At 37.2% G+C, this 17,507-nt stretch overlaps 1 long non-coding RNA gene and 1 pseudogene across 1 annotated transcript in view; one reads left to right on the top strand and one right to left on the bottom strand.

Annotated features, from left to right (window-relative positions):
• The first annotated feature begins 321 nt into the window (after positions 1 to 321).
• The window catches only part of LOC105374591 (uncharacterized), a 62,688-nt gene continuing 45,502 nt past the window's right edge, over positions 322 to 17,507 (top strand). Inside the window, exons 1-3 of the long non-coding RNA XR_001739454.2 lie at positions 322 to 575; positions 1,972 to 2,097; positions 8,607 to 8,681. This is a non-coding gene — a long non-coding RNA (uncharacterized LOC105374591). The remainder of the gene's footprint in view (positions 576 to 1,971; positions 2,098 to 8,606; positions 8,682 to 17,507) is intronic.
• VN1R18P (vomeronasal 1 receptor 18 pseudogene) lies at positions 14,836 to 15,772 on the bottom strand (annotated as a pseudogene).

Genomic DNA, 17,507 nt, shown 5'->3' with positions numbered 1-17,507 from the left:
GCACATGACTTTGCAGTCAGCAACATCCAGACCTTGGGAAATGCTACAAATGAAACATCTTGGGTGTTTAAAAGACAAATTGTAAGAAAAAGAAAGACATGGAGGAGGAACTACAGTTTAAAAATTACTTTTAAAGCATGCAAAAAAATGTTAAATAGACAAGACTTATCTATCAATCATGTCTAGGGATGCACCATAGGTGATGAAACTATGAAAAATACAAGAAAGTGATTACTCTGAAAGTCAGGATGGTGGTTGCAGGGAGAGAGAGGTGTGACAGGAATGAGACACATGGATGAGGCTTCTGGGATGGCCGACAAAGTCCTACTTCCTGACTTGGGTGATTGTTTCAAGGGTGTTTGTCTTACAAGTAATTCATTAATTAATATGTTTATTTTATGCAAATTTCCATATTTGTGTTTTATTTTACAATAAAAAATGTTAAGAAGAAGAGGAAGAAGAGCAGGAGGAGAGAGAGGAAGAAGACAACAAGAACAAGAGCAAGAACAAAGCAGCTTATGTAAAATACTGACAGCTTACTGCAATTTTACAGCATTCCTCACAAGGTGGTTCAGGTAGACTGTCAAAGCTATTAGCACTACCTCTCCCAGCTGAAGCACCAGCAAACCCAGCAGTTCATGACTTCTTGTGAATTCTCTTCCTGCCTGGAGTGTTGAGGGGTTGTACCTGCCAGGCTTCCAGAAGATAATGGAATACCAACCATGTTCCCTCCGAAGAAATGAGACCTTGTAGCTACATCACAGGGAAAGGGCTGGGGTGCTCTTTGTAGGTCCCTCCTAGTTCCCTCTGTGCACGCATGAGGAATCCATCGCTTCCTTTTTATTACTTTGTTTTGTTTGTTTATTTGTTTTGTTTTGTTGTTTTTTTGTTTTGTTTTTGGAGACGGAGTCTCACTCTGTCACCGAGGCTGGAGTGCAATGGTGCCATTTAGGCTCACTGCAACTTCCACCTTGAACCATCAGGTTCAAGTGATTCTCCTGCCTCAGCCTCCTGAGTAGCTGGGATTACAGGCGCCTGCCACCACACCTGGCTAATTTTTTTTTTTTTTTTTTTTTTTGTATTTTTAGTAGAGATGGGGTTTCACCATGTTGACCAGGCTGGTTTTGAACTCCTGACCTCAGGTGATCTGCCTGCCTCGGCCTCCCAAAGTGCTGGGATTACAGGTGTGAGCCACTGTGCTGGGCCCCTTTCTTATTTCATATTTTACAAGCAAATGTTTTTCTTATAATCTAGTTACATCTTTTTCATTTGTTTTGTATTACAAACCATCACACTTAGAAATACTTTCAGGAATTGCCTTTTTATTTAATGTGGATTAATAAGAAATGGGGCATATAGAAAAGAAATTTATTGCTGGTCACAAAGACTGGTAGTATTTTCCTGATCACATTTATCAAAATTTTACATTTGTGTCTTAGTTACTAGTGCTTTACTACAGCAGGTGCAAGTGAAATCTTTAAGGTTTCAGTAAAAGTTTCTTCTGGATCTACAGGAGTTTTTCATTTCCAATCTAAAAACTAGAAGCTCTAGCATTTTGTACATTTTTTGTTGTTGCACTGGAAGTTTAACTATTGGCACAAAATCATTCTTCAAAACTCACAGAGGGACTCTGCCATTACTTAGCTCAGAGCACAGAGGAGTGCCTTGTCCCCAAACGTGAATGGGCTTGTGGAGGTAGGCATGTGGGGTCCCCTGGCCCCAGGCTGGAGACAGACCACTTTTTTGTGACTTATGATTTTGATGTGATTCTAATGTTCTCTAACATGGCCAGTTGAGCAGCACAGGGTCAGGAAGTCACATTCTAAGCAGCAACAGATCTATTGCATGCAGAATCAAATATTTGGCCTATTTCAAACAGGTTAAATTTAAATAGGAATTTCTATTTTTCAAATAAGGGATGGTTTATGAAGCATACAGTAGATTTTACATGATCCTTTTCTTCTCTTTCAGAATAGATCCAGTGGACTGTAGTCTGTTTAACTGAGACCTCACACATAATGTCATGGTTGACAGTTACTGGTTGAAGGAAATCCATGTTGGGCTTCTGTGGATGCTGGATTCTTTCCTTCTGAGAAGGTAATCACTGAAAATTTGTGGGTTTTTTGTTTTATTTTGTTTGTTTGTTTCTTTGTTTGTTTTGAGACAGAGTCTCACTATGTCACCAGGCTGGAGTACAGTGGCGTGATCTTGGCTCACTGCAACCTCCACCTCCCAGGTTCAAGCGATTCTCCTGCCTCAGCCTCCTGAGTAGCTGGGATTACAGGCGAGCACCACCATACTCCGTTAAGTTTTGTAGTTTTAGTAGAGACAGAGTTTCACCATGTTGGCCAGGCTGGTCTTGAACTCATGACCTCAGGTGATCTGCCCGCCTCAGCCTCCCAAAGTGCTGGGATTACAGGTGTGAGCCACCGTGCCCAGCCCTGAAAATTTGAAATGCAGTACAAGAACTTGTATTTGGAAGATGTGGAAAGGAGAGTTATTGTACCTAAGTAATATTTGCAGGCAAATGAGATGTAGCCCACAGGGTAAAGAAAAGTGGTTTGTGTGAATATACAGGGGCTGTGATCATAGGCCCCAGAGGGGCAGGTAATTGCCTGCAGGCTTCTATGAGACATGGAGAGAGAGAAGAAGCATTCTCTGTACAAAACAATTTTTATTCATTTGTATTTATTAAATGGAAAAACAAATCCCATAGTGTCCCTATTCTGTGGAGGAATTTAATTATTATGTTAAAATAAAGTTATATATTTTCCCCCTGAAAAAAAAAAAAGAACAAAAGAACAAAGTGGCAGCAGCAACTACAGCAACCAAAGAAAGCTGAGCACATTCTCCTACTTACTGCCTACCCCAGATGGAAAAGCAGGGGAAAAGTCATGCCTTTTAAAGAGGACTAAGTGTTAATTAGTGTTTTGAACTAGTGTAATTAAACAATTGGGATTGTTTTTGTGACTCTGGGTGATTTTGAACTTTCTGTTTTCTAAGACCTGCCTAAGTTAGACCTATCCAAGACTACCCCACTGGGCAGGATTAAAGGGACAGTTGAAAAGCAAAATTTCACTCAGGAGTTTTTGTTCAACACACTGGTTATAAAAATATAAATTGTCCCAAGAAGAAACAGGAAATTCATATAAACCAATTATGCTTTTTTAAAGTTTTAAAGGTAATTAAGGGTCTATGTTTTTTAAGTCAGTAGGTTCTAACAGTCTTGCAATTAAGTTATAGCTAACTTTTAAATAATCAGTTATTCCAGTGCTATTTAAATGATCTCATACCAGATTCAAGCTTGGAGAGTTGTATGTTTCCAAGAATTTATCCATTTCCTCTAGATTTTCTAGTCGGTGTGCATAGAGGTGTTCACAGTAGTCTCAAATGATCTTTGTATTTCTGTGGTGTCAGTTGTAATGTCTCCATTTTAATTTCTGATTGAGTGTATTTGAATCTTCTCTGTTCTTTATTTGGTTAATCTAGCCAGTGGTCTATCCATTTTGTTTTTATTTTCAGAGAACCAACTCTTTGTTTCATTGATCCTTTATATATTTTTTTGTTTCAATTTCATTTAGTTCTACTCTGATCTTTGTTATTTCTTTTCTTTTGCTAGCTCTGGGTTTGGTTTGTTCTTGTTTCTCTAGTTCCTTGATGTGTGATGTTATGTTTGTCAATCTGTGATCTTTGTCTTTTTGGCACAGGCATTTAGTGCAATAAACTTTCCTCTTAGCACTGCTTTTGCTATATCCCAGAGGTTCTGATAATTTGTCTCACTGTTGTTCATTTTGAAAATTATTTTAATCTCCATCTTGATTTCATTGTTTAACCAAAGATCATGCAGGAGCAAATTGTTTAATTTCCATGTATTTGTAAAGTTTGTAGGGTTTTCCTTGGAATTGATTTCTAGTTTAATTCCATTGTGGTCTGAGAAGATACTTGATATGATTTCTGTTTTAAAATTTATTGAGACTTGTTTTGTGGCCTATCATATGGTCCATCTTGGAAAATGTTCTATGTGCTAATGAGAAAAATGTATATTCTGCAGTTTGTCAGTAGAATGTTTTGTAAAAGTCTGTTAAGTTTATTTCTTCTGTAATCCAGTTTAAACCCAGTGTTTCTTTGTTGACTTTCTCCCTCAATGACTGTCTAGTGCTGTCAGTGGAGTGTTGAAGTCTCCCACTACTATTGTGTTTCTGTCTATCTCTCTTCTTAGGTCTAGTAGTAATTGTTATATGAATCTAGGATCTCCAGACTTAGGTGCATATATATTTAGGATTGTTATATTTTCTTGTTGTATTGATCCCTTTATCATTATATAAAGACCTTATCGTTCTCTCTTTTTTGTTTTACTATTATTGCTTTAAAGTCTGTTTTATCTGATATAAGAATAGCTATTCCTGCTTGCCTTTGGTTTCCATTTGCATGGAATATTTTTTCCATTTACCTTGAGCCTGTAAGAATCTTTACACGTTGGGTGGGTCTCTTGAAGACAGCAGATATTTGGTTTGTGTGTTTTTTTAATTCATTCTGCCAATCTGTATCTTTTAAATGGGGCATGTAGAAACATTTACATTCAACATTCATATTGATATGTTAAGTACTGTTCCAGTCATCATGCTGTTACCTGGTTGCTTTATTTTCTTCATTGTATTACTGTTTTATAAGCCCTGTGAGTTTTATGCTTTCAAGGGGTTTTCATACTGATGCATATCAAACTTTTGTTTCAATATTTAGAACTTCTTTTAGCATTTCTTGTAGGGCTGGTCTAGTGGTGACAAATTAAAAATATGTAAAAGTCATTATTTTATGAAGCTAACATAACTTTAATACTTAAACCTCATACAAATAGAACTCCTCCCCCAAATGACCATAATAGACCAATCTTACTTATGAGGAAGATTTTTAAAATCTAAATGAAATATGAAAAATTAAATTTATTAGTATATCAAAAAATATAATACACCATGGTGTGTTAGGTTTATTCCAAGAATTCAAGACTGAGTTAAGTGTAGCAAATGTATCAATATAATTAATGTTATTAACAAGTAAAAGAGAAAAATATCAACATCTATTTCTAATAAAGACTTAAGGAAAACTACTTAATTATGATAAGCCCTATTACCAAAAATTAATAGCAATAATCATGCTAAAAAGTGAATTTACTAAGCCATTGCTATTAAAAGCAAAACCAAATAGTAATGCTATCACCATTAAAACTCAATATTTTGAAGGTCATAGCTAATAGCATAGAGTGTAAAAAAATATATAGTTACTGCAAATATGTTAAAATAAAGGACAATATCTCAATAAAAATAAAATTTAAAAAAAAACTGGCATCTTCTAGCCTTTTGTTGTTTGACCTGAAAAGTACTTTTCAAAATTCAAAACAATATTTAAATTAGAAGATCTAATATTAAAATCAAGTTTGTAATTCCTTTTATTATTTTTTTTTCCAGATCCTCCTAAGAGCCTATCTAGTTCCTTTTAAAAGACTGAATGATATGGCAACCTGGGATTATATTCTCACATGAAAAGTTGGAAGGAAGGAGAGAAGGAAGGAAGGAAAAGATAGGCAGAGAACAGTATTATTTCGACTGCAAGGGATGTAATTGTGAACCTAGAAAACTTAAGTGATAAAATGTAAAACACTATAAAATTAATGAGAGAATTTGATGAGTGAGCACTATGTATACACATACACACATTACACACACATGAACAAAAAATTGATAAGTTTTCTTCTATACTTTTCACAGTGGGGGAAAATTTCATTCACAGTGACAAAACTTAAAAAATATTTTGATAAAATGTTATTAGGTATAGGACCTGTATAATAGACACTATAAAATCTTAATGAAGAATACATAAAATAAGACTTGAACATACAGAAAAGTTTATCATGTACCTAAATGGAAAACCTAATTTATAAAAATATGTGCCTCTCAAAATTAATACATAAAGTTAATGCAATTCTAATCAGAATTCCAATAGAGTTTTTTTAATTTTTGAACTGACAAAATTATTTTAAGGAACATGTAAGAATAAGTACCAAGAACAGGTAAAAAATATGTATTTTTTATAAAGACAAGGCTGGGCACAGTGACTCAGGCCTGTAATTCCAACACGTTGGGAGGCCAAGACAGGAGGATCGCTTGAGCCCAGGAGTTCAAGACCAGGCTGAGCAACAAAGTGACACCTTATCTCTACAAAAAAATTTAGGGCAGGCATGATGGCTCACACCTGTAATCCCGTGCTTTGGGAGGCGGAGATGGGAGGATCACTTGAGGCCAGGAGTTCAAGACCAGCCTGGTCAACACAGCGAGAGCCCATCCATTTTCAAAATTACAAAATAAGTAAAAATAAGATAAAAATTATCCAGGCATGGTGGCATGCACCTGTGGTCCCAGCTACATGAGAGGCTGAAGTGGGAGGATTGCTTAAGCCCAGGAAGTCAAAGCTGCAATGAGCTGTGTTCATGCCAGTGCATTCCAGCCTGGGTGACAGAGCCAGACCCTGCCTCGAAAAAATTAAAATTAAAATTAAAAAAAAAAAATAAAAAGATAAGTAAAGGGTCACATGCTGTACAGGGAAGCACTTTGGCATAACGGTTAAGAACATGGACTCTGGAACTACAATGCATGGATTAAACTAAGGCTTTGCTTGTTAGTGGTGGTATGATGCTGGGCATGTTTGTTAACCTCTCTGTCCCTTACTTTCATTATCAGTAAAATGGGGATATTTATAGTACCTACCTCATACAGTTTGTGTGAGGATTTAATGTAAATTCCTCAGAATAATATATGGCAAATACTACAATTTGCAGCATGTTATTATATTACAATTACCATAAAGTCAGTGCATCAAAAGAGTACCACAAAGGTCCAGAAGTAAGCAAATATATAAGAGAACAAAGTAAAGAACCATAAATAGAGTCCAGTATACATGGAAACTTAATGTACCATAAAGGTAGAATTTTAGTTTAGTGGAGAAAAGTAATTTATTTACAGAAGTGGCACAATGGGCCAGCCATCTGGAAGAAATCCATGTCGTATACCAAAATAAATTCCAGATGGATTCCAGATTTGAATGTAGCAAAAAAGTAAATAAAATTTTTAGAAAATTTAGGAGAATAATCAACCTTGAGATGAGAGAAACATTTTTAAATAGGACAGAAAACTCAGATGCAATAAATGAAAAAGGCAGACATATTTGACAACATACAATTTAACATTTTTGTATAGCAAAAAACATAAGCATAAAAGTAAAAAGACAAGTGATTGTCTGGGGAAATATTTGCAACACATTTATTCAGTTAACAAATATTTGCTTGAATAACTTTTATGTGATAGGTGCTGTGGGATTTCAGTGCTAAATAAAGCAAACAACATCCCTGCATTCATGGAGTTTACATTCTTTTGACAAATGATACATATGACTGATAATATACAAAGAGTTCTTACAAGTGAGAGAAAAAGAAACAACCTAATTGAAAAATGATAAGAAAATATGAATAGGCAATTCAGAGAAGTATTCCAAATAACCATAAAGATACAAAAGATCTATTGCATTCATATGGTAGAAACACTGCATATTTCTTCCCAACTCTGTGTTCAGTGACCTCCTGGCAGTTTGAACATAGACATGATGGGAATATTTGCACCATAGAAATCAGCAACTGCTGCAGGTCAGGGTTTGATTTACTACTTTATTGATGGTCGAAACTTAAGAACATGATAGAGAAAAATGTTAGAAATGTAGATTCAACTTAAAAGCATGGTGTGTCTGTAACGATTACATTATGAATAGAATAAAACATTAAGGAAATATTATTCCAGTATTTAGAAATTGTTATTCAATTCAGCAGAGAAATCACTTCCCTCACTGATAAATAAGTGAAGTTCTGATATATAGTGCTGAAGCTGAGATTTCCATTTAATGAATATAATTTGTACAAGGGTGAAAAATAGTTTAATAGTAGATCACATCTCAGGTTTAATAACAATACAACTATTAGGGAAAGACTTAGTGAATTGGAATGCAACTCCATTTGTCAAGCCATGGTGGAATTGCATAGGTTGCATACAGATGTAAGAGTTCAGCAAAAATTAATCAAACCCTTCTGGGCAGTACATGGTGGCTCATGCCTATAATCCTAGCAGTTTGAGAGGTCGAGAAGAGAGAATTGCTTGACCCCAGGAGTTTAAGACAAGCCTGGGCAACAAAGCAAGACCTTGTCTCTACACAATTTTTGTAAAAATTAGCCGGGCATGGTGGCACTCACCTGTAGTCCCAGCTACCGAGCAGGCTAAGGTGGGAGGATCGCTTGAGGCCAGAAAGTCAAGGCTGCAGGAGTCATGATCTCACCACTGTGCGATCAGTGTGTGTGTGTACAGCCAGCTGCACATTTACCAGCATACCACTGCTTCCACCTACATCTCTTTGACCAGAATTTATTTACCTAGACAAGGAGGGCTTGTTCTACTCCAGGCAACCTCATAGCCAGCTAAAAATTCCATTACTATGGTAAGGGATAGACTGGATTTGGACCCATGTGTGTCTGGCTTCACTTTTTTTTTCTTCACACCATTTTCTCCCTCCAGAAATATAACACACTGACTTTGAGGTGATGGTGGAGAAAAAGTACAAGCAGAAGACTTTTCCCAACTTCTCCATAGGTATGTATTAATAAGATAACTAATGAAGTGAAAGGTTTCTATCACATAGAAAAGAAATCGATGAATGGTTAGGGTTAGGAGGTCAATATGAATGTGTAGTCTCTGGGAAATTCATTGGCCTAAAAGGAGATTAAACCCATGGATTTATCTAGGGAGGTAGGAAGCTATGTACCTATCCCATTTTTTTTCAGACACAGGTCACATGAATTTTTTATGACCTCAGAAATAAACATTGCTACAGACACATCATAAGAGATAGCTGGTGACCAAAGAGGGGAGGGAGGACTCGGACATGGGAATGAGGTGAAAAATTGGAAAATTGCCTTACCCCAGTTAATCAGTAATGTCCTCACATTGATGTATTTAGCTCTGTGTATAAATCTTATCTACTAGACTTTAATCCCTTCGAAGGCAGGAAGTATATCTTGTTACATTTTCTAACATAATTTCTTCACATAGAAAAGAGTAACAAATATTGGCGGAAAGAATTATATGAGTGAACTGTGATTAAATGTACTCCATATTTGTTTATATAATATATGTCTTATTTCTCACATATTCCCTAAGAAATAGAAATTCCCTGAGACTGAGTATTCGCTGAAAGGAAGAGCTATCTCTTCCATCTGGACCAGTGGGTTTTCCAATTCCTTATCCAACAGATATCCATTAAACTCTTGCCATGAGTGAAAATATTGGCCGCATCTCCATCTTAGACTAGGAGCTCCATGGAGGGTCGGGATCATATTGTTTCCTTCTGGAATTCCATAAAGGACTGTGATATTCAGAATGCAAGGTCCATTATAAAAACAACTAACGTTTATTGAATGCTTAGTATTTGTCGGCGTTGAACCAAATGCTTTACGTGTATTTTTGTTTAATACCCATAACAACCCTATGAGGTGGACACTATTATTACTCCTACTTTATAGATAAGGAAGCTGAAACTTAAGAAATTAAGTAGCGAAAACTCATGCAGCTCTGAAGTGTCAGAATTCCTGGATTCCAAATTCGGAATCACTGCCTTTCCCTGGACTGTGAGCAGTGCCAGTTCTCGGAGGCAGCCCCAGTACAGCATGCGCCATTAAACGACCTATCTTCCTAGCTCCGTTATGATCACTGGGGTTTCCCCCAGTCCCTCCCCTTGTTATCCAAGATGACAGATAAGAGTTAGAGGTAAGTTTTTAAACTAGGTGTCTTGTAACAGAATCGGTGATGAACACCATTTTTGCTGGGTTTTAAGATTTGCTTCTGTGGTTTTTATAGATCACTTTCATTTGTCTCTAGCTAATTAAAAACTACGAATTGCCTTGTTTGCTTAAACTGGCTGCCATGAAATGTTGAAAATGCCTTAAAAGAAACAGCGATACTAAAGAGGATCTTTTTAAAATTCCTGCTTTGTGTGGTTCAAGATGGATGTCTGGACTCATGCATTTACAATCCCTTCATCCAAATTCTTACTGAAACAATATTAAAGATAGACAAAAAAGAATAGAAGGGAGAATCCATTAATATACCAGTGAATTTGATGACTTTCTGGAAAAGAGAGAGTGATTAAGATTTAATTTACAGGTAAAAGCAGCGCATTTGGTAGCCCCAAAAGCACATAAAAGATGAAGGCACAGTTGTATAAGAAGTAATGAAATAATTATAGAATAGAATGGAAAATTTATACACCTGGACAGAGGAAAAGTAGTACTATAACTGATCCAGGTTGGGAGAAGAGAAGAGCAGATGAAGTAGAAATGTTAATATCTTCATTGTTAATCATAGAGAATGAAAAGATATTGCCTAAAGTTGACTGTATAAGAACTAGACACTTAAGTTCTTCTATAAAGTTGTAAAGGTAATCAATAGAAGAGCCAATAATAAAAATATAATTAATAAAACTTGGGAGTGAAACATCATATATATGGCTAAATTCCTCATCTTTCCTAGTAAGAAGTCAATTGATAAGATCTATATTTGGTAAATCAAGAAATAAATAATTGGCATATTGTTCTAAATGATCATGATAACTAGCCAACAAAAGAACTAAAAATAGGCCAGCTGTGGTGGCTTACGCCTGTAATCCCAACACTTTGGGAGCCCAAGGCGGGCAGATCACTTGAGGTCAGGAATTCGAGACCAGCCTGGCCAACATGGCGAAACCTTGTCTCTACCAAAAATACAAAAAAAATTAGCTGGGCGTGGTGGCACATGCCTATAGTCCGAGCTATTTGGGAGGCTGAGGCAGGAGAATCACTTGAGCCTGGGAGACAGAGGTTGAGCTGAGATTGCGCCACTGCACTCCAGCCTGGGCAACAGAATGAGACCCTGTCTCAAAAAACAAACAAACAAAAACCACAAAACTAAAAATACAAATAACTGAAAATTGATACTTTTGTGGGGGAGGGGACGGAGTCTCACTTTGTTGCCAGGCTGGAGTGCAGTGGCGCCATCTCGGCTCACTGCAACCTCCGACTCCTGGATTCAAGTGATCCTCCCACCTCAGCCTCCTGAATAGCCGGGATTACAAACTGAAAATTGATACTTTTTATCTATTTCAGAGAAAAACTTCCACATATATACCAAAAAGTAGGGACAATGATGTTCATTGCAGCTCCGTGTTGTAATAACAAAGAATTGGAAGTGTCTAAATGTTTATTGTACATAAATAAATTATCCCACATTCATAGTGTACAGCAGTTTAAAGAAGCAAAATGAAGATATATTTACTGACATGGAAAGATGCTCAAAACATATTGTTAAGTCAAAAAAGCAAGAAGCTAGATAACAAATGTGGTGTACCATTTCTGTAAAATAAAAACCAAAACATGCATACTTATAAAGATCATAGAGATCTGGGAGAAAACCAATCAGTGTTAACAATGGTGGTTACCTCTGAGAAGGGCAATGTAATTGGGGTGATAGTCAAGAGGGACTCAAGCTTATCTGTATGCTGTATGGTTTGAAATTTTTACAATCATGTTCACGCATGATTTGTGTAACCTAAAACTTATAATCCATAAGTGGATACCGCTGGGGCAGAGAAGTGGATACCACACAGGACACAGTCTTTTCATTTAATGCCACTCTATGACATAGCAACTTCTTTTTTTTTACTGCACATATGTATTACTTTAAAATAATACTTTTAAGCAACCACAACAAAAATCAATGTTTTTTCTCCTTTAGTTACAAAAAAACTTCACAGAACAATGTTTCTGCAGGTAGTTCTGTAAGCCCAAAGGTTGCCCTCCCACCAGCCCCATAAATGATGGTTATTTATGAACTACTTCATGACAGACATGTGTACAGCTATTTACCATCTCTGCTGGGAGGATGGATGTTCACATTCATATAAGACAAAAACAAATCAAGATTCAACTAGACAGGCTGCTGTGGGCTTGGGAATTAGAAGAGCAAAAATAAAAATAAAAAACCCAGCAACCTACTCCAGTAAATCACTTCTCCTTTCTGTCTTGTTCTTAAGAAAGAATTTAACAACCTCTTCAGGGTTGCAGACATTTTTATGTACTCGCCACTGAGTTTTAAAAAACATGAACAAAGTATTTGGCTGAACTGGTCTCTGGACTGGAAGCCAAATTGTAATCATGGTGTATCTCTTTGTCCAGGGTTCACTATTACAGTGTGTGTATGTCATTTCAACAATGGCTCCTCTCTTCTTTCTTATCTTTTTTGAGCACTCTTTCAGAAAGCTCCAAAATTTTATCAGACCTTATAGGTTTCACTTCTTAAGACCAAGTATCACTTGAACATGATGGGGATGAGAAAATATTTCCATTCTTATTCAAATCCTGACCTTCTGACTACCTCCTTCCTTGAACATCTCACCATTTTCATCCTTCTGAGCCTTGAGGAGTGGGTTGAGTTGAACCTTCCTCTTCTATCACTTGTCTTTTAGGTATGAGTCACTGAGAGAAAACCTAGGATCTTTCTAAACCAAGTGCCACAGATTTTGGTTCAGATGGTAATGTTGAGTACCTTTTGTATTACCTATAAAAGAATTAACATTAATTAGTGACAATGTAATAATAGACTTTGTTCACAAATAAATAAAAATAGTATTTAATCCTTTCAACATCACTGTAAGGCTGAGTATTTTATTTGTTTGTTTGTTTGTTTATTGTTAGAGCAAACGTCTGCATTATGTTGCCCAGGCTGGACTCCTGGGCTCAAGCAATCCTCCTGCCTCAGCCTCCTGAGTATCTGGGACAACAGGCACTCCACACAGCACCCAGTTTAGGCTGGGTATTCTTATTACCATTTTAAAGAAGGGAAAGCCGAGGTGAGAAGGGTTAAGAACTTCACCCTTGAAGATGTATTACAACAAACTGCTCTCCCTTCCAAGCCTTTATCACAGCTCTCTTGGTCCAGTTATCTAACTGGAGGTCTTTATTAAAATGCCTCCTGGGCCTGCTTTTATAAAAGCACCTTTATGCAGTTTAGTAAACTTCCAAGTATTTTAATGGGAAAATCTCTTAATGAATCCCTTTGAAGCTGCCAACACCTTTCAGATATAGTTGCAGTGACACCATGAGTTTCTTTTTAACTTGTTGAAACAAAGTACCCTATCTTTGATGTTAGGCTCTGAATCCTAACCCACCTTCTACCTGGGGCAGTACATTTAGGGCAGTGAACTGCTACTTGAGAAAAGGATCCGTATATGTGTTGTCGCCATTATCACCCTCCCTCTCAACCCACTTGTTTTCTTTTAGCTGATGTTTGTTGCATCACTCCTGGGCTTTAAGATACTCAAGAGGGGACAGTCAAGTCTCCCCACTCAGAACCAAGTAGGTTAAAGAAAGAATATAGAGGTCAAAACAATACCACCAAAATAGAAACATCACAGGGTCGCTCCTATCCCACCTCATATCAGCTGGAGCCCAGGCCCTGACATTACCCTACTACCCCACATACTTATTCCAAACTAAGAAGGGCTCAAAGTCTGGAGTTTGGTGCATCACACCAAGCCTTCATTTACTCCACCGAGTTTTCCATCTGCACTTTCCCCCATTAACCAGGCAGCACTGCTTCTATGTGATCTAGGCTTGTTCCCCAAGCCCTTTCCCTCCTCTTCCCAAGTGGAGCCATTCTCACTCTCTGCCTCATTCACGTTGCTCCAAAATGTCTGTGCCTTCTACAGTTAGCTAGCCTGATAAGCCAATCCATGCAAATATACCAAAAGGCTTAGAGTAGAATCTCCTTTCTCTTCCCAAATAAACTATACATAGTTCCTTCAAGACTAAACATATCTAAAACCAAAAAGAAATAGTACAAATATATAAAATGCCCCCTGCCTTATTTTGTAAGTAATTTATCATGAAAACCTTCCCCCATCAATTCATTTTCTGTAGCATCCTTTTTAATGTTTCAAAATTCACTTATACTTCCCTGTCTTCCCACTGTTGAGCATATAGGTTTTCTCCAGTTGTTGGACATGATGAACATTTTACACCTAACTCTGTACACACAAAGCATGATTTCTATATTATAAGGAACACAGCCTTGGTAAATAGGGAGGAGGCCCCTAGAAGGCCTGTTATGCAGCTTTATTTTGTGTGTGTGCCTGAGGTGACCTTTCTTTTAACAATATCTGCTCACCTTGGCTTACAGTCATAGTTGGGGACTGACTTGGGGAAAGGGCTTGGGGCCTGATAAACCTTGATATTTGTGTCTAAAAATTCACTTTTATTGTATATACTTCTTTTTATCAGTTTCAATAAAAGCGGGTGAAATCGAGCCAAAATTCTCATGGCCAATCCATGAGAATTCTGTCTGGGCAATTAAAAAGGCAATCAAGTTCCTACAGTATATATGGAGTTTGTGGGGCCAGCAGCTGATCTGAGCCTTGGACTGGCTGCTTTTTCTTCCTTGGCTTCTGAGCCCTTTTCTTCTGAGTTACAGAAGGTTAAGAGAGGCATTAGTTGTCCTCTCTTCCAACATTATGTTGGAATACAGGCGTATTGATGATGATGGTGATGATGATGATGACGATGATGATGATGATGATGTCAGCAATGATAATAGAACTTCAATCATATGTCACCTAATGTTGGGGATACATTCTCAGCAATGGATTGTTAGGTGTCATCATTGTGAGAACATCATAGATTGTACCTATACAGACTTAGATTGTACATACACATATAATTCACACATTTCTGAGATTAGGGAGTTTTGTATTACTTACCCAGAAAAAGCAAAGCTTGAATACATTGGAGTCTCTGCTCCTAAGAACAAAGGGCTGACATTTGGGAAACTTGACTTGGTTGTTACACAAATGTGCACCATCAGCCAACCAGGAGTATTAAAAAGAGCTAAACAAACTTGAAAGTTGAAGAAGCAGGCATAAAGTTGATTGAAAAAAAAAGTACTCACCAGAAGGAGGATGGTTTTGGTAGCTCTGGACTCAGGGAAGAATCTGGGGGCGGATATTGGTCCTATGTATGTATTGGACTTGCTGCTTGTTCCTGTAAAGAATGAAAGCCATGATGCCACTGGCACGATCCCCAAACATAAAACATCTGGGAACAGTAGCAATGTGGCACGGAGTGACTCTCTGCTTTTGTCAGGATGAACAGGAGAGTAGTATCCTAAATCTTTTGTCTTTGTGATGTTTTTGTTACTCAATTTGCCAGTCACGTACATAGGAAAAAAGATGTTTACCACAATTTAGAGGATCCACCACAGGAATATGGAGGAACCAATGTACTTAGGAGCTTTTACTTTCAGCTCTGCCCACCTGGAGTTCCTGGGACTGATAGTGATTCCTTGGAAGACACTCAGAAGCAGGTGGTGCCAGTGGAAACACCCCCGGCCACTCTGTGAACATAGAAAAGAAGTTTGCATCTGAAATCACTCAGGGAAGGTTTCCACCCCAAAACTGCTATTATCTGCCAAACTCTTCCAGAGAGGAAGAATAAGGAGTTGACTACAATCAGGTGCTTGATAATCAACTCTGTAGACCTTAACCTGAGCCCAGTGAAGTAAAGGAAGAGATAACGGTAAAGAAAACAGAAATTCCCCAGGATTTGAAGCACAGCCTGTGATAAGAAGATCCTTCCTATTGCCAGATCTTTGGCAGCCATTCTGTCAGTTCCCACAGACCGATATTTATCATCAGAGCCAGAGGACCCGCAGGGGAACGTGAGGCCTGTGCTACAGTTAAAATGTCAACTAAAATCCAGTATTCTTCACTGACCATTAGTTTCACACTTAGAAATATTAGCTGAAGTTTTTTCTATTATTAACAGGTTTCCAATATATGAATGTGTACCATTTAAAGTGTACTTACAATGTATTCATCGCTGCTATGAACAGTAGGTGTGGGGTAACTTTTTTATTCTTCACAAATCTATGAGGCAGCTGCTGCCATTATAACGATAAGAACTTAAGCACAGAGAGAGTAAGTGGTTGGTCTAAAATCAGACACTGACCAAGGGGTAGAGTGGGGACTTGATCATGTCTGAGTGAAGACACACCTGGAGGGTATGATATAGCCATTGCTCCTAGGCTACAAACCTGTACAGCATATTACTGTACTGAATACTATAGGCAACTGTAACACAATGGTAAATATCTTGTATCTAAACATAGAAAAGGTATAGTAATAATTCTTTATAAAAAGCTTTTTAAAATGGCACACCTGTATAGGGCACTTAACACGAATGGAGCTTGCAGGCTGGAAGTTGCTCTGGGTGAGTTCAGTTAGTGAGTGAGAGGTGAGTGAATGGGAAGGCCTAGGACATACTGTACACTACTGTAGACTTTATAAACATGGTACATTTAGGCTACACTAAATTGATTTTTAATTTTTTTCAGTAATAAATTAACCTTAGCTTACTGTAACATTTTTACCTTAGAAACTTAAAAAAAAAAACTCTCTTTTTTGCAATAACATTTAGCTCAAAACACACATATACAGCTGTACAAAAATATTTTCTTTCTTTATATCCTTATTTTATAACCTTTGTTCTAATTTTTAATTTTTTTATTTTTATTTTTTACTTTTTAAATTTTGTTAAAAAAAAAAAAAAAAACTAAGACACAAGCAACATGTATTAGTCTAGGCCTACACAGGGTTAGGATCAGCAATTTCACTGTCTTTCACCTTCACATCTTGTCTCCCTGGAAGGTCTTCAGGGGCAATAACACACATGGAGCTGTCATCTCCTATGATAACAATGCCTTCTTCTAGAACGTCTCCTGAAGAACTTGCCTGAGGCTGTTTTACAGCTAACTTTAAAAAAAAAAATAGGAGTATACTCTAATAGTAAAAAATATATAGTATAGTAAATATATAAACCAGTAACTTAGTTAATTATCATTATCAAGTATTATGTACTGTACAGAATTGTATGTGCTATACTTTTATACAGCTGGCAGGGCAGTACGTTTGTTTATGCCAGCATCATCACAAACACATGAGTAATGTGTTGCACTACGTGTTACAGTGGCTACAATGTTGCTAGATGATAAGAAGTTATCAGCTCAATTATAATCCTATGGGACCATCCTCGTATATGGGGTCCATCGTTGACCAAAATATCATTGCATGGCGTATGACTGTATTCAATGAATAAGCAATGACCATGGCTAAAGTGTTCCTTCTACTGGCAAAATCTTCTAGTCCAGAAACAATACTACAGAGCAGACGAATAGGATAATTAGAACCGAAGTCTTCTCATCCCAGAAGAAATACGGGGATTCAGTGATCATTCTGTCTCCTTACAATGTGATCCAGTTCTGTGTCCATCCTGCTGTTCCTGTTTTCATGAAGGGCAGACTTTACAGGTCTTCGACAATTTAAAAGCAGATACTTGA

The sequence above is a fragment of the Homo sapiens genome, chromosome 2 (assembly GCF_000001405.40).
Source record: "Homo sapiens chromosome 2, GRCh38.p14 Primary Assembly".
NCBI classification, from domain to species: domain Eukaryota; kingdom Metazoa; phylum Chordata; class Mammalia; order Primates; family Hominidae; genus Homo; species Homo sapiens.
The sequence above is the reverse complement of the archived record's forward strand: the minus strand, read 5'-3'. Positions and strand labels throughout refer to the sequence as shown.